Source organism: Homo sapiens, chromosome 8, assembly GCF_000001405.40.
Source record: "Homo sapiens chromosome 8, GRCh38.p14 Primary Assembly".
Classification (NCBI taxonomy): Eukaryota; Metazoa; Chordata; class Mammalia; order Primates; family Hominidae; genus Homo; species Homo sapiens.
Genome location: NC_000008.11, coordinates 133,849,896 through 133,869,716, shown reverse-complemented (window position 1 = coordinate 133,869,716; position 19,821 = coordinate 133,849,896). Strand labels below are relative to the sequence as shown.

The following is a 19,821-nucleotide window of genomic DNA, read 5'->3' as shown; positions in this document are numbered from 1 at the left end:
GCACTGAACGAGCCTGGGTTCCTGAGGAATCGGCTAGCACTGTCTCTCACTGACCACATGGCCTTGGAAAACTCACTACATCTCCCAGATCCTCTTTTCCATTCTTTGTAAAATGGGATCACCAGTTCTTCCCTGTCAACCTCACATCAATCTAGCTACAATGATAAAGAGGTGAGCAGGTGCTGATTCACTTCATCATTTTCTTTTTTTTTTTTTTTAATTTTTTAAAATTATACTTTAAGTTCTAGGGTACATGTGCACAACGTGCAGGTTTGTTACATATGTATACATGTGCCATGTTGGTGTGCGGCACCCATTAACTCGTCATTTACATTAGGTATATCTCCTAATGCTATCCCTCGCCGGTGCCCCCACCCCACGACAGGCCCTGGTGTGTGATGTTCCCCACCCTGTGTCCATTGTTCAATTCCCACCTATGAGTGAGAACATGCAGTGTTTGGCTTTCTGTCCTTGCAATAGTTTGCTCAGAATGATAGTTTCCAGCTTCATCCATGTCCATACAAAAGACATGAACTCATCATTTTTTATGGCTGCATAGTATTCCATGGTGTATATGTGCCACATTTTCTTAATCCAGTCTACCATTGGTGGACATTTGGGTTGGTTCCACTCTTTGCTATTGTGAATAGTGCCACAATAAACATACGTGTGCATGTGTCTTTATAGCAGCATGATTTATAATTCTTTGGGTATATACCCAGTAATGGGATGGCTGGGTCAAATGGTATTTCTAGTTCTAGATCCTTGAGGAATTGCGACACTGTCTTCCACAATGGTTGAGTTAGTTTGCAGTCCCACCAACAGTGTAAAAGTGTTCCTATTTCTCCACATCCTCTCCAGCACCTGTTGTTTCCTGACTTTTTAATGATCACTGTTCTAACTGGTGTGAGATGATATCTCATTGTAGTTTTGATTTGCATTTTTCTGATGGCCAGTGATGATGAGCACTTTTTCATGTGTATGTTGACTGCATAAATGTCTTCTTTTGAGAAGTGTCTGTTCATACTTTCACTCACTTTTTGATGGGGTTGTTTGATTTTTTTTCTTGTAAATTTGTTTAAGTTCTTTTAGATTCTGGATATTAGCCCTTTGTCAGATGGGTAGATTGTAAAAATTTTCTCCCATTCTGCAGGTTGCCTGTTCACTCTGATGGTAGTTTCTTCTGCTGTGCAGAAGCTCTTTAGTTTAATTAGATCCCATTGGTCAATTTTAGCTTTTGTTGCCATTGCTTTTGGTGTTTTAGACAGAAGTCCTTGCCCATGCCTATGCCCTGAATGATATTGCCTAGGTTTTCTTCTAGGGTTTTTATGGTTTTAGGTCTAACATTTAAGTCTTTAATCCGTCTTGAATTAATTTTTGTATAAGGTGTAAGGAAGGGATCTATTTTCAGCTTTCTACATATGGCTAGCCAGTTTTCCCAGCACCATTTATTAAATAGGGAATTATTTCCCCATTTCTTGCTATTCTCAGGTTTGTCAAATATCAGAGGGTTGTAGATGTGTGGTATTATTTCTGAGGGCTCTGTTCTGTTCCATTGGTCTATATCTCTGTTTTGGTACCAGTACCATGCTGTTTTGGTTACTGTAGCATTGTAGTATAGTTTGAAGTCAGGTAGCCTGATGCCTCCAGCTTTGTTCTTTTGGCTTAGGATTGTCTTGGCAAAGTGAGCTCTTTTTTGGTTCCATATGAACTTTAAAGTAGTTTTTTCCAATTCTGTGAAGAAAGTCATTGGTAGCTTGATGGGGATGGCATTGAATCTATAAATTACCTTGGGCAGTATGGCCGTTTTCACGATATTGATTCTTCCTATCAACGAACATGGAATGTTCTTCCATTTGTTTGTGTCCTCTTTTATTTCGTCGAGCAGTGGTTTGTAGTTCTTGAAGAGGTCCTTCACATCCCTTGTAAGTTGGATTCCTAGGTATTTTATTCTCTTTGAAGCAATTGTGAATGGGAGTTCACTCATGATTTGGCTCGCTGTCTGTTATTGGTGTATAGGAATGCTTGTGATTTTTGCATATTGATTTTGTATCCTGAGACTCTGCTGAAGTTGCTTATCAGCTTAAGGAGATTTTGGGCTAAGATGATGGGGTTTTCTAAATACACAATCATGTCATGTGCAAACAGGGACAATTTGACTTCCTCTTTTCCTAATTGAATACCCTTTATTTCTTTCTCCTGCCTGATTGCCCTGGCCAGAACTTCCAACACTATGTTGAATAGGAGTGGTGGGAGAGGGCATCCCTGTCTTGTGCCCGTTTTCAAAGGGAATGCTTCCAGTTTTTGCCCATTCAGTATGATATTGGCTGTGAGTTTGTCATAAATAGCTCTTATTATTTTGAGATACGTTCCATCAATACCTAGTTTATTGAGAGTTTTTAGCATGAAGGGTTGTTGAATTTTGTTGAAGGCCTTTTCTGCATCTATTGAGATAATCATGTGGTTTTTGTCTTTAGTTCTGTTTATACGATGGATTACGTTTATTGATTTGCATATGTTGAACCAGCCTTGCATCCCAGGGATGAAGCCAATTTGATCGTGGTGGATAAGCTTTTTGATATGCTGCTGGATTCGGTTTGCCAGTATTTTATTGAGGATTTTTGCATCAGTGTTCATCAGGGATATTGGTCTAAAATTCTCTTTTTTTGTTGTGTCTTTGTCAGGCTTTGGTATCAGGATGATGCTGACCTCATAAAATGAGTTAGGAAGGATTCCCTCTTTTTCTGTTGATTGAAATAGTTTCAGAAGGAATGGTACCAGCTCCCCTTTGTACCTCTGGTAGAATTCGGCTGTGAATCCATCTGGTCCTGGACTTTTTTTGGTTGGTAGGCTATTAATTACTGCCTCAATTTCAGAGCCTGTTATTGGTCTATTCAGGAATTCAACTTCTTCCTGGTTTAGTCTTGGAAGGGTGTATGTGTCCAGGAATTTATCCATTTCTTCTAGATTTTATAGTTTATTTGCATAGAGGTGTTTATAGTATTCTCTGATGGTAGTTTGTATTTCTGTGGATTGGTGGTGATATCCCCTTTATCATTTTTTATTGCGTCTATTTGATTCTTCTCTCTTTTCTTCTTTATTAGTCTTGCTAGCGGTCTATCAATTTTGTTGATCTTTTCAAAAAACCAGCTCCTAGATTCATTGATTTTTTTTGAAGGGTTTTTTTGTGTCTCTATCTCCTTCAGTTCTGCTCTGATCTTAGTTATTTCTTGCTTTCTGCTAGCTTTTGAATGTGTTTGCTCTTGCTTCTCTAGTTCTTTTAATTGTGATGTTAGGGTGTCAATTTTAGATCTTCCCTGCTTTCTCTTGTGGGCATTTAGTGCTGTAAATTTCCCTGTACACACTGCTTTAAATGTGTCCCAGAGATTCTGGTATGTTGTGTCTTTGTTCTCATTGGTTTCAAAGAACATCTTTATTTCTGCCTTCATTTCGTTATGTACCCAGTCGTCATTCAGGAGCAGGTTATTCAGTTTCCATGTAGTTGAGCGGTTTTGAGTGAGTTTCTTAATCCTGAATTCTAGTTTGATTGCACTGTGGTCTGAGAGATAGTTTTTTATAATTTCTGTTCTTTTACATTTGCTGAGGATTGCTTTACTTCCAACTATGTGGTCAATTTTGGAATAAGTGTGATGTGGTGCTGAAAAGAATGTATATTCTGTTGATTTGGGGTGGAGAGTACTGTAGATGTCTATTAGGTCTGCTTGGTGCAGAGCTGAGTTCAAATCCTGGATATCCTTGTTAACTTTCTGTCTCGTTTATCTGTCTAATGTTGACAGTGGGTTGTTAACAATCGGTAATAACAAACTTCTCCGAGCTAAAGGAGGATGTTCGAATCCATCGCAAAGAAGCTAAAACCCTTGAAAAAAGGTTAGACGAATGGCTAACTAGATTAACAGCATAGAGAAGACCTTAAATGACTTGATGGAGCTGAAAACCATGGCACGAGAACTACGTGATGCATGCACAAGCTTCAGTAGCCTATTCAATCAAGTGGAAGGAAGGGTATCCGTGACTGAAGATCAAATGAATGAAATGAAGTGAGAAGAGAAGTTTAGAGAAAAAAGAGTAAAAAGAAATGAACAAAGCCTCCAAGAAATAAGGGACTATGTGAAAAGACCAAATCTATGTCTGATTGTTGTACCTGAAAGTGACGGGGAGAATGGAACCAAGTTGGAAAACACTCTATAGGATATTATCCAGGAGAACTTCCCCAACCTAGCCAGGCAGGCCAACATTCAAATTCAGGAAATACAGAGAATGCCACAGAGATACTCCTCGAGAAGAGCAGTTCCAAGACACTGAATTGTCAGATTCACCAAAGTTGAAATGAAGGGAAAAATGTTAAGGGCAGCCAGAGAGAAAAGTTGGGTTAACCACAATGGGAAGCCCATCAGACTAACAGCAGATCACTTGGTATTTTCAAGCAGCTTTTACTATTAAGAGACTTTACTGTTACCTATTCCTCTCTCCTCCATCTAGAATTTCAGCTCAGGACCCCAGGATTCATCGGGAAGACCAAAGGAAATAAATGTGACCTCCACGGTCCTTTGTGATCTTCTGTGTTGGTTGCCTCTGCTGAGTCTTTTGTTGGTGATGCAATGTGACCTCTCAGGTCCATTGTAAAAGAGTAATTTGGAGCAGTTTATTTTGGTTAAAATTTCATCTTCCCAATTTCCCCACTTTTATAGATGCTCCAAGTTCATTATTCTATCTGCATAACAATCACATCCTATGAAAAGAGGAGTGACGCCGGGTGCGGTGGCTCATGCCTGTAATCCCAGCACTTTGGGAGGCCAAGGTGGGTGGATCACCCTGAGATCAGGAGTTCGGGACCAGCCTTGCCAACATGGCAAAACCCCATCTCTGCTAAAAATTACAAAAATTAGCCAGGCGTGGTGGTGCATGCCTGTAATCCCAGCTACTCATGAGGCTGAGACAAGAGAATCACTTGAACCCTGGAGGCGGAGGTTGCAGTGAGCCAAGATCACACCACTGCACTCCAGCCTGGGTGACAGAACAAGACTCCGTCTCAAAAATAAATAAATAAATAGAAAAGAGGAGTGAGCGCAATGGGGCAGGAGTGAGAGCCTCAAAGCAGCCACAGTGGAGATGTGGTCCTCTGAGGATGGTCCTGGCTCTCCTGTGAGCATTTGGTCCCCTGGTGACATCAGTACCTTCCTGTGAGCCCTGGGTGCTCTTTACATCTCGATACCAAAGACATGAGTTTAATTCATACACACCCTTCCTGAAATATTATAGCTACAGATGGGGCAAATACCAAATCCACGTAACAGTTATCGATCTAGAGAAAGGTTGGAAACACATGTTCTAAGAGACTAGAAAGTAGGTAGTTAGTTATGTCGTGCTCCACACTGGGCCTGTGGAATGAAAGCTATCACAGTGGGGAAGACTAAGAGGGAACTTCTAAAGCTGTGCCCTCCCCCAACCGGTCAATATAGTAAATGGCAAATAAAAACAATCCCCAATTGAGGGAGGTGGGGAAAAAAAAAGAGCCCTTCTTAAGAATCTAAGGTTGCAGGTAGGGTTGGTAACCTTCATTGTATTCCCATTCAGTTCATGGGTGTGGCCCCTGCAGATATCAGATGGATCCAAGAGAACAACTCTAGACAACTGCGAGCTCAGACAAGTGGTTGCCCTTGATGGTAGCCTATATGCCAGCTGCGGTATTTTTACTAGAGCAGATTAAAACAACCTCAGGGCATGGTAGGCAGCCACTGATTTGGCAGATATGTTCTGTCGTATTAGAATAAGGAAGGAAGATCACAGATGGTTTCACCCGTGCCGATCGGACAACCATAGACACTCAGAGAGCCCGGGGCTATATCAGCTCTCTGGCCTCCTTTCATAACAGTATCTAAGAGCTTGGGACTCACTGGATGTGCCACGGAGCTTCCCTTTGATCTATTGCCTTGGTGATGTTATATTGATAGGACCAAATGAGCAAGAGGTGCTGGCACACTGCAGGCATTGATAAGACACATGTTCCCCAGGTTAGCAGAGAAATCGTACCAAGATTCAAGTCCTGCCACCATCCCTAGAATGTTCATGGATCCAGTGGCCAGAGGCATGCATGTAGGCCTGGACATTGCCTACAAAGTAAAAGGGAACTTCCCTTATCTTGAACCTCCCTCCACAAATCAGAAAGCACAGCATCTGGTGGGTCTTTTCAGGTTTTTGTGAGAGCACATGCCACCCATGGTATTCTATGCTTTGATTCTTAGGCTGATGACATAACAGGCGACCAGCTTTGAGGGGGAACAGGACCACACAGGGCCTCTGCAACAGGTCCAGCCTGTGGTACAAGGAGTTGTACCTCATGGGCTACAGGACTCAACAGAGCCTTTGCCATTGGAGGTGTCAGTGGTGGAGAGAGATGCCATCTCGAGTTTGTGGCAAGCTCCAGGAAATGGATCCCAGACAGTCCCTTGGATTTTAGCCAAAAGCTGTGTCACTTACAAAACAGAATCACATGTCTTTTCAAAACAACTCCTGTTTGTTACTGGCCACTTGGTGGAGATAGACTGGCTGGCCGGGTAACACCATGTGACCATCTGGCTGGAATTGCCCATCATGAGCTGGGTCCACTCAGAATCACTAACTCGTAGGCTGGGCAGGATGAGCAGCCATCCACAGCAAGATGGAAGTGGTCATCTAAGCTTAAGCAGGACTGGAGAGTACATGCCAGCTGAATGAACAGGCGTTGCAGACTGCCATGGCCTCCCCGCTGTCACAGCAGGGTGCCTCCCAGCTCACACCTGGGCTTGTATGGGAGATGCTGTATGGCTAGCTGAAGGTGGGGAAAATGTCTGAGCTTGGTTCATGGATGGGTCAGTTTGCTATGCAGCTGCAACCCAACATGGACTTTGGCCCCATTCAGGAGTGGCCTTGAAGGATAGCAGCAAGAGAAATGCCTCCCAGTGAGAAGAGCACTGGGCATTGCATCCAGCCATCTATAAAGCTGAGATTTCAGAGGTAGCCAGATGGATGGGTGGTATTTAAGTCTGAGGGGAATTTAGATTGGAGACAGGAGAAGAGAAGCAGAGAGTGTCAACTGTGGTCCCGATGACAACGGCTGTGGCAGAGGCTGTGGTCATCCCCTTAGGACAAAGAGCTAGCCAACATCCTAGAGCAGCTGCCTCCCATGGCATATGGAGAAGTGAAGCTGAGGATGCAAGCATGGGCTGTCATACAGGAGAGATGCCCTGGACCCCCTTCAAGGAAGGGCACGCTGTCCTGCTGTGCAGAACGTGGCCAACCACCTCTGTCGGCTCCTTCCTGGGTCAAGCTTTCCAGGGCAGCCCCAGGCAGTGACTGAGAAGTGAAGACCTGAATGTCTCTGCCCACTCTGAATCAACTCTGAGAGATAAGTCTTGATCCAAGCCCACCATTCAGTGGCCCTCAACCAAGGGTGATTGTACCCCCATCTCCTCCCAAAAGGTCTGACAATTTCTGGAGATAATTTTTGTTGTCATTACTTAGCAGGGTGCTGCTGGCACTTAGTGGGTGTAGGCCAGAGATGTTGCTAAATGTCCGACCATGCACAGCACAGCCTCCACAACTAAGAATTATCTGGCCCCAAATGTCAAATGGGCTGAGTCTGAGAAACCCTGGGTTTACTAATGTAAGCTTCTTCCAGTCAGCCTCGAAATTCAAACTCTTTCTTCACCTAGCCCTGCATCCTCTTCATCCCTTTTACAGGCGTTGGTTCCAAATAAATATCTTGCACCCAAAACTCAGCCTCAGCATCTGCTTCCAGAGAACTCAAACTGGTATCAGGAAATCCCCATTTCCTACCACAGTGCTTGGCAAATGGCAGGCGGTCCATAAAAATCATGAACTCATGAATACCATCTAGGTTAAATACCAGACCCCCAACCTACACGTCAAAAAAGTGCCAATCAGGAGACCAACTGGGAGTCAATAGAGGCTTTATTTTTCATGAATGGCATCCAATTAGAACACTACTGAGTAATGAAGAAAATTGTTCTCATCTCCAGATCGGGATGTCCAAAGACGATGCTTCTTTCAACATTTTGTACAAACTGTTCTCTGCAGCCACAAGTGTCTTTGCTTAGGAAACTCAGCTCTCATGCTGCCTCCTTCATGGAACCCTGTGTTCCTGCTTTTCTTTTTTCCTTTTTTCTTTCCTTTTTTTTTTTTTGAGACGGAGTCTCGCTGTTGTTACCCAGGCTGGAGTGCAGTGGTGGGATCTCAGCTCACTGCAACCTCTGCCTCCCGGGGTTCAAGGGTTTCTCTTGCCTCACCCTCCCAAGTAGCTGGGATTACAGATGCCACCACCATGCCCAGCTAATTTTTGGATTGTTTTAGTAGAGATGGGGTTTCACCATTTTGGCCAGGCTGGTCTCAAACTCCTGACCTCAGGTGATCCGCCCACCTCAGCCTCCCAAAGTGCTGAGATTACAGGCATGAGCCACTGCACCCAGCCGTGTTCCTGCTTTTCTATTCCTGCCAATGACATTTAAGTTTATTCTCCTATGGTCCCGATACCACAAATACATACCTTAATTAATCATCTTGTCATAGGATAATTTTTGCTTATAAGTCTATCACCCAAATTGAACTGCAGTACTTTATAAGTCAAAGGCTATATTTTCATACTTGCACCTCTATTGCCTAGCACAGGGGGCTTATATATAGTAGACTTTCAAGACATGTTTTTAAATTGAAAGTCTATTTGACCAGACAAATAGATTAAATCAGAATCCCCATGTTAACTTTATCTACCAGGAGAGGGACCAGAAAGAGGATGAAACCCAAGTTGGAGCATCAGGAGAAGGGAGTTTCGTATTTTACCACACTGGGAAAAATAACCTCAGGGTAGTTAATTCTTCGTTTCCTTGAGGGAGGGGGACGGCAGGGATAAAGTGAGTGGGTGGTTAATAATTCATTGCTCTTGGAGAAATAACGGCAGTTTATCACCCAGTCAGATCTGTCCTCAGAACCTTAGAATTACAAAATTGCAATTGTTAACATTATTCAGGCCAAGTTTGGCCCCCATTCTTCCTATGTAATCTGAATAGTTTGTAAAGTCTGTTTCAACAGAGGGAGAGGGATGGTGAGGAGATATGATATTTTGAAGCAAAGCAAGTACCACTGTTTCAAACCTTTGGACCAGGTTGATGGGGAGAGGAAGAGATTGAGATGGGGGTGGTGAGGGAGAGAGGGAGGCAGAGAGGGAGAGAGAGAGGGAGGGAGGGAGAGAGAGAGAAGGAGGGAGGGAGAGAGAGGGAGAGAGGGAGGGAGGGAGAAAAAGAGAGAGGCCCATAGTCTTTCCTACCCCCAACCCAGTCCCCATCCTTCTAATCAAGCACACATTGAAAATAGAATTCTGCAAGATCGGAATTAACATAATTGAGGAGACACAAAGAATCCTTCAGCCGTCCTGAGAGAACAAGCTGACATTTTGCCAGTCCCTTCGAGGCCAAGACCACCTCCGCTCTGGTCTCCTCTGGCTTGCTGGCACACCTGCATCACCACCAACACACGAATAAATCTCCCCAGTGGGAGCGCCCTGATTGACTCAGATGGGTTCCCTCATTTGCCTGGTTTTACTCCACCTACATCTGTGTCAGAATCATTAAAGCCATTTCAATGCACCAAGCTGGACTCTTCCACTCTCTACACCATTGCAGGAGCCAGTCACCTTCCAGGAGTCATCTCTCCTCATCAGCCCTGACCATTCCTTCTGGTGTCCCAAGATAGTACCTGAATTACTTACCTAGAGCCCTCTGTGTGCCAGGCTTCATGGGAGCAAATAGTTTCCATCTCCTCCTCACAGCAACTCTGTGAGCTCAGCATCCTTATCCCATTCCCCAGCTGAGGGTCCTCTGCCACCCAGAAGCCAATCACCTCGCCCTCCTGGTGAGTGTCTCAAGTAACAGCTCTTTCTGCTTTTCTGTCTGAAACCGTCATTCCACATGATGAGGGTGATTTGAAAAGGGGAGGAATTAAAGCCATGTTAGCCAAAAAGATAATCACAAGAACTTAGAATGTTTTATCTGAAGGAGAGAAGACTCGGGGGATATAAATATTCAAAGGGCTATTGGGTGCAAGAGTTTGGGGCAGTTCTATGTGGCCCCAAGGACCAATAGAGGAAGACACAGGGAGATGGATTTCAGCTCAGCGTAAGTAAGAACTTCCTTACAGAATAGATGGAGTACATGATCTGGAGACATACCTACCCCCATCGTGAGACATGCAAGCTAGACTGGCTGTGCAGAGATAGTCCAATTCCCTGCCACCGGCTCATATTCAAGGCCCTTTCTGGTTCTCAGATTTAGTTCCTTGGAGGTTCTTCATAATTCTCTGCCATAACCCAAGGGTTGGCAAAGTATGGCCCACATGCCAAGTCTGGTTCACTGCCTCTTTTTGTAAGCAAGGTTTCATTGGGACACAGCTGGGGGAGTCCTTTGTGGATTGTCCACAGCTGCTTTCACTGTAACAGCATTGCTGAGCAGTTGTGATGGAGACCCTGCAGCCACAAAGCTACAAGTATTCACGATTGGGCCCTTTGTAGAACGAGTTTGCTGACCCTTGCAGTAAGTGATTTTTCTGGGAAACTGTTGAGTCTGCCAGTTTCCAAAGGGAAAATTGAGTAGAGCTTTTGGATCTTTGAAGCTGGGAGTGCGGATTCCCCTGAAAATGATTGAAATCATGGTTTGCTTGTTTTTTTTCTCCTTCCAAGAGAACCTGAGACCGGTGATTATTCTTGTTCCCTCTAATTCAATTCCTTTTCTCATTTCTTCTTATTATACTCTGAGCTAGCAGCACAGCCTCATCCTGGCAGATGTTTGCACAGATAGGCCACTGAGCTAAACTTTTTGTTTCCTAGAGGTTAGACACAGACAATGGGATGATTTTTTAAATGATTTTTTTGTTGTTGTTGTTTAAATCTGAAAAAATTAGCTCTAATGGAAAGAGATGGCCAGAGATCCAGGCAGTTGCCTGAGAATGATGACTGGGCAGAAACAAAGAATTAGTTTGATGACCCCTCATGGCTTGAATGTACCTTGAAGGTATGAACTCATGGAGCCCACACTAAGAATTGGGCAGTAATACTGTAACCATGGGACCAGCTCAAGCCAATTAGTCATTGCTTAAGTTGCTATAGATAAGGTAGAGCAAAGACTGCAAGTCATGTGGCTTGGGCATGCTCAATGGGAAAAAGCCTTAACCTTCTAACTGTTAACATGACCAGCCTGGCTGAGCGGCTACATTAGCATCACCTGGGACTAGTTAGGAACGTCATAAAAGCTTGACTCATCCCAGATAGGGGAGACAGCTTTGAGTGTCGCCTCCTGTCTCCTTACCAGTTGACTCACAATAAAATTTAGCAGTGAGTCCATTGCTTGGTCACAGTCTAGCACAGACAGGCCTTGGCAAATAGTAGATATTGTGGGTTGAATCACATTCCTAAAAAGATATGTTGATATCCTAACCCTCAGTATCTGTAAATCTGACCTTATTTGGAAACAGGGACTTGGCAGATGTAGTCAAGTTAAGATGGGGCCATACTGGATTAGGGTGGGCTCAAATTCTATGACTCAGGTCCTTATAAAATGAGGGAAATTTGGAGATAGATACACAGAGATAAAAATGATATGTGAAGAGACAGAGAGAGGCCAGGTACAGTGGCTTATGCCTGTAATCCCAGCACTTTGAGAGGCTGAAGTGGGAGAATCACTTGAAGATAGGAGTTAAGACCACCTGGGCAACATAGTGAGATCCCATTTCTACAAAAAAATTTAAGAGACTGAGAGACACACAGGGAAGATGGTATGAAGAAGGAGGAATATATTGATGTAATGCATCTGCATGCCAAAGAACCCAAGAGATTTCCAGCAACCACCAGAAGCTAGGAAGAGATAAGGAAGACTTCTTCTCTAGAGCCTTCAGAGGGAGCATGTCCACACCTTGAATGTGCAATCCTACCCTCCAGAACCATGAGACAGTCCATTTCTGTTGTTTCAAACCACTCATTTTGTGGCACTTTGTTAGGACAGCACTAGGAAACTAATACAGTAAGTGACTGATATATGTTTGCTGAGTGATCAAATGGGTGGATGGATGAACGATAAATGAATTAGTAAAAAACACCAATGCAGAGGGGTTTAGAGCCAGGTCTGTATTTGAAGAACCTATAGGTGAACTGAGACAAAGCAGAAGCAGTCATTTGTGAAGGAGGCAGATCTTGAGTGTTTGCAGAGAACTTCTCCACCACCCACTGGCAATAACATAGGAAGGGCAGCATTAAAGACTTAGCACCCAGGCAGGAAGCTAGAGAATTGCCAGCTTGGGCACAAACAGAGAAACTGGCTCTGCAATGCCAGGCCTCTGAGACTGCGTGGGGAACAATGCCTTGTCTTGGAATTCTGAAGGCAGAACCACCATCTAAGCCACACAGGATAATCATTGCATGGGATAATTGTTGCATCCCTGGTGTATGGCTAAGGGTGAGTGGACAGGACTCAGGGACAGACAAGACTGTCTGATCTACTCTCAAAAGCCACTAAGGGCAGGCAAGGAAAGTCTAGCACTTGGTAGGACTGGTGTGGACCCCAGGGTGGGTCCTATACGTTGGAGGAAAGTCAGATGCAGGGAAAGATATTAGGCCCATGAGTCAGGGGTGGGGAGGAGTAAGGAGTCAGGAGATGGGAGAGAGAGAACAAGACAGCGTGATATGAAAATCAGAAATGAGAAAAAGGCTTCAAGTCTCAGCCTTGAGCAAAGTTAGGGTGATCCAAGCGCCTTGCATGGAGCAGCAAAAACGTGCCACTTACTGTGCCTCACAGGTTTTGTCTCCCACACTTTCCACGTGTCTGCAAGGAAAAATAACCATCCACAATTCAGAGTTAAAGAAACTGAGGCTCAGAGAGGCAAAGTAGCTTCCCAGGGCATGTGGTTAGGATGCAATAGAGACTGTCACTTCTATCTGATTCAAAAGCCCATAGCATGACCTCTATGCCCCGTGCTTCTCTTAAGTCAGAGGATATCAGCTACCTGCCCCCAAAAGTCTCCCATGGGCATGGCAGGAATGACTCTCTATTGAGCAATAAAAGACTTTCTAGTGAGAGCTAAGGGCATCTGATTATTGCCTGCCTAAGGAGCCTTTTACATATGTTTTTCCTAATCACCACTTTCCCCCATGAAATTTTAATACCAAAAACATATTCTATAGTCCTTCACATACTCTATGTGTGTATATGTGCTCTATACACAAAAAGAGTAAGATACTTTCTTTCCTCAAGAACCAATTTTTGTACCACCACCATCCCCTGGCACCATGTTGAGAATGCACGGATTAGAAGATATTAATCGCATCTTCCTGTGTAATGCAGATCACTCTGAGTGACCTTTTGCATCACAACAGCCTTATTTAATAAGATGGGAAAGCTCACTAACCTGCTAAAACCTTCCATGAATTGGGTCATGACATGCAAAGAAAAGCAGCTGCTCTGTTGGAAATAGGGATTTCTGAATACCAGCTTTGCCAGGTCTGTGTGTACCTGCATGTGCGTGTGTGTGTGTGGATGTATGTGTGTGTGATCTTATTGTATCTTCCCAATAATGCTATGAGGTCGAATTGTCTGTTCAACGTTACTCAGCCAATGAGAGTCAAAGTCGTAATTTGAGTCCAAACTCTGTGACTCCACGTAGCTCTTGGCCATCACACGCTATGTGGGAAATTATTCTCTCTTGCTGAGCTTCAGTGTCTTTGTCTGCAGAGTAAGCTGAAAATAAAGACCAGTTCCCAGGACATTAAGTGAGAAAATGTATCTGCTATAATTTTATATTGGAGGAGGTCAGGGATGGGGGAACTCCCAACAGTTCCCTTACTGACCCTGTGCCTTGACCATAGCTGAGCTTCCAGAGGAATTGCCTGAAGCAAGCTGGGGCCATTACATTCCTTGCTGGGAACTTGAACCTTTAAGACAATAAGCCAGGGACTAAAGTTGGCTTAGCTAAGTCAAGCTTAGTTAGCTTAGCACTGGGGGCCGTGCTCTGGAGTAAGGATGGCTGAGGTTTCCAAGCTGGCCATTTGCCTGCCTCCTCGCAGACTCTTCTCTTCTGCAATACTCTGTATTGCAGGCAGCTGCATACCCCAGCACCCTTGCCAGCTGCCTTCTGGGTAGGCTCAGGCAGCGGGAAGCTCAGGCAGAAGACTGGTGGGCAAGGGGAGGGAAGAACCAGGTATTTCTCCCACCTTTCTGTTCCCTTTGGTGTCTTCAGCAGTGATTTTGTCTCTTTTCAGTAGCTTCAATGCCAATTTAAAGTAACCATCTCACCCTGGTGTCCTAGCACCTGATGAGGCAGCCCTATCATAGTTCCAGCTCTTAGTACAGAACCCCACTTGTGAATTTGAGTATCACCTTCTCCCAATGAAATGAAAACATTTAGCCCCAGAAGTAGGCTTTTTGCTACTGCTAATCTGGGTGACGTTGCTGTCCTCTGTTTGGATTTTTCAGTTATTCCATCTCCTGTGTAACCACTTCTCTGTATTAAATGCCATCTACTCAAAAGACCTAGAATAGTTTTGGTTCACTAAGTTTGACTCTGACTGATGCAGTCCCAAAGGGCGCAAAGTTCCTACCCTCCTGTGTCTTAGATGCTCTTTGTTTGTTTCTCTGAACTGCCCTAGTATTCTTCCAGTAAATCACACCCACCACACATGCACATGTGCACACATATACATACGTTTTTAAAAAGTTAGTTACAGTTAGAACTGGTTTTCATTTTTTTGCCACTGGTAGAACCTTGACTAATTCAGTGCATAATCTATGCTCTGTAAACTATAAACCAATTTGCAAATAAGCACCTATATGGTAGGTGCTCAATAGATGTTTGACGAGTATTGAATTGTGCTCATTAGACCCTGGCTGATGTATACATATACATGTTGACGACAGAATTGGAGTATTAATTTGTATTTCATCTTCACCATTACAGATAGTTTGCTCTTCTCTGTTACAGCTTGATTTCCTTGCCTAAAGGTTTTATTTGTGGCTGTGTCAAAAGCTGAAGAAACTTTAGACACACACGATCACCCCTCCTGCCTCTTAGGAGAACTGTGCAGGCTATTGGCAGAAGGAGAAGATATGGAGACAAACGTAAGAATTGAATAGTAACAACCTTTGGACCTGGTCCAAAAGGGAACAAGAGATTCCCTGGAGACTAAAGAAAAAGGAAGAATCTTTAGGGATTTCCAAGGAGAGTGGAATCTTGAGGTTTATGTCCCCATAGCTCCCTGCACAGGGAGTTGCTGCAGGATGTCAAGGGAAACTGACCATGTCTCACCTTGATACGATCTCCAAATCCAGGTGCATCCTTACCCAAAACAGGAGGAGGAGAATGAAGCAACATGATCTCTTCAGCGGTTGAAATGCTTCTCCTTATTTCAAAGAATCCTAGAGCTGGATGTGCCTTCTGAAAGCTTTAGGGTTGAATGACTTCATTTCATACATGAAGAGGCTGAGGCTCAGGTTTAAGAAGACAGCCCGATGTCACCTGCCGATTAGCAGCAAAGCTATGCCTCCCACTCTGCCCCTTGCCTCGAGATCTGGTGTTGTTGAGTGCCTGGAATTCGCCACAATGTGATGTGGTTAGAATAATCCAGTCTCTTTTTTCCAAACCTTCTGGTAAATATTAGTCATTGTGCCTTTAGAAAGAATCATTTTGGTCAAGTTACATTTACTTCAGTCATGCTGTAAGGATGAAGCTATTAGAGGAGATGGGGTATGCATGGAGCAGGGGCTGCAGTAGGCAAAACAAGGCTGGGCAGGGCCTGGGGGATGCTACAGAGGATACAGAGCTCTGAGAGACAGTGCAAGGGAAGTTACAGTGAAAAAGACAAAGCAAAACAGAAGTAGGATTCGAGGTCTTAGGCTCTCGTCCCAGCCTCGCCATGTACAAGCTGTCTTCGCAAAAAGTATTCCTCCTTTCTGAGGGTCAGCTTCCACATCAGTACAATCTGCCTTCTTCCTGGGGTGCTGTGAAAACCACGTGGGTGGCCAGGTGTAGTGGCTTATGTCTTTAATCCCAGCACTTTGGGAGGCCAAGGTGGGAGGATTGTTTGTGGTCAGGAGTTGAAGGCTGCAGTGAGCTCTGATCCTGCCACTGCACTCTAGCCTGAGCAACAGAACAAGACCCTGTCTCTAAAAAAAGTTAAACAAATTTTTAAAAATTAAAAAAAAAAAAATCACATGGAGTGGTGGAAAGCCCCAGGTAAATGTGCAGATTAGTTACTCTAGGGGGGAAAAGCAGAGCAGATCCACAGGGCTGCCACTCTTCCACCAGCACACAAGCCCAGCTGTTGCAGGGAGGCAGCTTCCAGTGAACGAAGTCTCTCTACATAAGAAGCTGAGGCTTCAGCAACAAGCCCAGTTGACGTTTTCTGTTCTCACCCACTGACCTGCCCATGGTACTCAGGGGCCTTCTGATATGGAATGGAGCTCTGCACCCCTATCCTCTGGAGAATGGAAAGAATGCTAGAAAAACTTTAAAAGCTTGAGAATTAAATAGGTTTTGCTCCCAAAGACGTTTTTAGGCCAAAAGTAGCAACAACGTCCATGAAGCTCCTACTGTGTGTCAACCCATGTCAGTGCTCCTTGGCGTAGTTCATTCCATTTGATTCTCATAACAAACTTCCACATAGGTGGTAACATCATTGACAACTTACAGATGAGGAAATCAACACAAAAGCATTAATATGTTTAGTGAAGCAATTAATTAATAGCAAAACTGAGATTGGTGCTGCGTGCATGCATTATGATAGACCATTTATTATGTGTATGTCATGAGGCAGGCACCATGTTCAGTGCATTTATGCACTGTCTTATTTTCCCCTGAAAACAGCTCCATCAGATGGACACATTGTTACTGCCATTTTACTGACAGGATAGCTGAAGCTCATAGAGGTGAAATAACTTGACCAATGTCACACAGCCAGATCTTATTAAGGCTGATTCTGCAGTTTAAATATTACAGTGAAGCAGCCCCCGGTTTGTAGGACTCCAGCTTGCCTTTGCTATGAGAAGAGAAGGTGATCAACAGGGCAGAGACAGTGTGAGTTCAGGTAACATCACTCTCAAATCCAATCTGGTTTTCTTTCTTAGGGCATAGCAATGCAAATACTGATCCAAATATGAACGCTTCTCATTTTATCTTCCTTCCCCTGGTGAGGGGCTGTGAGAAGCACAGCCATCCTTGCAAGGGAGACTAGGAAGAACAGAAGTCTCATCTTTCTATTTCCTTCCCAAGCAAAGTCACTCTTTGGGAGAGAGCTTCCAAACATCCACGCACAGCCACTTCAATTGTCTCCTTAATATATAGATAGTGTCCTCCTATCAATAATTTACAGCCCCTTCTTAAATGTTCAAGACAACAAGGTTGTAAAATCTGGCTCTAAGACTCAAATTTCTCAACAACACATTTTTTGTGCTTTGGGCCCATTTTGTTGTTTAGCGTATACCATATGTTGCAGATTTCCACACACTTCTAGAAAATTTCCATCAGCATTGTCCAACAGCATATGTCATGATGGAAATGCTCTAGTTTGTGTTGTCCAGCACGATAGCCCGTAGCCCCATGTGGTCACTGAGCACTTGAAAAGTGTCTAGGACAACTGAGGAATTTTTAATTCGATTTTAATTAAATTAAAAAAGCCACATGTGACTAATGGCTACAGTATTGGACAGCACGGATCTAGATAATTACTAAGAAAATATCAGCCTGGTTACTTATGTATACTCTTATTTTATTGTAAACACAGGATGATTTCAGTTTGTTTATCCAATGGGTTTAACTCTTGGCCCCAGTATTTTGCACTGCAGGGATTCACAGTTGTGTCAACACTCCATGCACGAAATTAAGTTCAAGAAAGAGGCCATGTGTTTGCTTATTAGCATTACATTGAAAAAAAAAAAAAAACTCCAAGAGTAATAATTAAAAGATTAAACACTCAGCAATGCAAACAGTCTTGCAAGCATTTACTACCTGCTTGCTACTCAGCAGTGTCAGCGTTTTAAAAAAGAAATATAATTATCACGTTGCTTTCATTGGCTTCATCTACAGAAATGCAGCCTGTCTGCTATGGATGTGGCTAGAGTAGTTTCTGTATCTCACCAAGCTGCTTACTCCTTGCGAGCAAGTTCTCTCTGGTCAATAGTTCTTGGCTCCCTTTCCTTCACTTATACTTGTGCTTTTTATATGTACCCTTTATGTTGTTCAGGAAGTATTTATTCTTTTTAATGATAATGATCTTCACAGGAAGCACTGGTAACTGACATCACAATACCTCTCTCTGGAGTTGCCTCCTTTCTAATTCCTAAAGGGGAAATTCCATGGCTACCGCAATATTTTAAAAACACTGATTCCTGAGCTCCATCCAGGGATCTGGGTCAGAATGATCACAGCAGGGCCCAGAAAGCTGCGCTTCTACAAGGCTCCCATGGATGCTGATCTGCAGCCAGATGTGGGAAACACTGACCCAAATCTTCCTTTGACAAAAGCTTTCAGAGGCAGGGGCAGCCTATGAAAAGTGTTGCCACAGCCACAGGGGTCTATAGACCTCACCATTATCATTGCACTGATATCGGCCAGCAATTCATGTCCTGATGCTAAGCATTTAAAAGCTTTCTCCACAATGATCTGGTGAGATAGGTGTTTTCATTCCATGAAGAATTTAAGCTTAGAGAAATTAAGACCCTTTCATTCCACACCTATTCAACAAATATGCATTATGTACCTTGTCTATGCCGGGTGGCGTTCTAGGACATAGAGCTTTAGCAGGGAATAAAACACACAGATATCTTTGTTCTCAAAGAGCTTGCATTGTCATGCAATGCAAGACAGAAGATAAAAGAATTAAAAAGTTGATATGTCAGATGACCACCTCAAGCAGGGTAAAGGAGTGATGCAGGACACTCAGCAACCTTCCCTGATCAAATGGCCTTTTGAGCAGAGATCTGAAGGAGTGGAATATGTCTTCTTCCATGAAGGATGTCGGGAAAGAACACCTCAGGCAATGGGAAAGAGCCCTGAGGCAAGAGAGAAATTTGCTTAGAGCCACAAAGGTGATAAATGACAGAGCTAGGGTTTGATCCAGGTCTTTTTGATGCCCAAGTTCAAGGTATTCTTTTGGCATCATCTTGCTGGCTCACCGTGCTAGCAATTTTGTTGCTAAGTGATGTTGGACAGCCAGCTTATTCTTTTTTTCTCATCTGCAAAAAAAAAGACTTTGGCTATCATGAGAAAAGTCCATTATATGTCAAGCAGAGGCTTCGGCACACATGAGACTGTTTATTCCTCCAGAGCAGTGAGGTAGGCATTGTCATCATCCTTATTTTACAACTGAGAAAATTGAGACACGGAGGAGGAAACTGGCTTGGCCAAAGTTTCCTCGTTACGATGAGGCAGAAACAGAATTTTAATCCAAATCATTTAAGCGGCATCTGCCACAGTCACTCATTCCCACTAGCACATTCTCTGCTGCTATCAATTAGTTAATAGTCAAAGTTAGTAGAGTTCAGGGTGGACAGCTCTGGGCTGCGATCTATAAGTACACCTTGGTGGCTGAATTGGTCTTAAAATAAGATAGAAAGTCCGATGAGAACACTTGGACACAGGAAGGGGAACATCACACACCGGGGCCTGTTGTGGGGTGGGGGGAGGGGGGAGGGATAGCATTAGGAGACATACCTAATGTTAAATGACGAGTTAATGGGTGCAGCACACCAACATGGAACATGTATACATATGTAA

The 19,821-nt window shown here is 43.7% G+C and overlaps 2 annotated features.

Annotated features, from left to right (window-relative positions):
- Positions 16,571-17,071: an enhancer, noted in NCBI's record as "H3K27ac-H3K4me1 hESC enhancer chr8:134864889-134865389 (GRCh37/hg19 assembly coordinates)". NCBI's record gives its function as "activates a minimal SCP1, AML or CMV promoter by ChIP-STARR-seq in naive H9 embryonic stem cells {active_cell/tissue: H9 hESC(naive)}" and the evidence as "EXISTENCE:reporter gene assay evidence [ECO:0000049][PMID:30033119]".
- Positions 17,072-17,572: an enhancer, noted in NCBI's record as "H3K27ac-H3K4me1 hESC enhancer chr8:134864388-134864888 (GRCh37/hg19 assembly coordinates)". NCBI's record gives its function as "activates a minimal SCP1, AML or CMV promoter by ChIP-STARR-seq in naive H9 embryonic stem cells {active_cell/tissue: H9 hESC(naive)}" and the evidence as "EXISTENCE:reporter gene assay evidence [ECO:0000049][PMID:30033119]".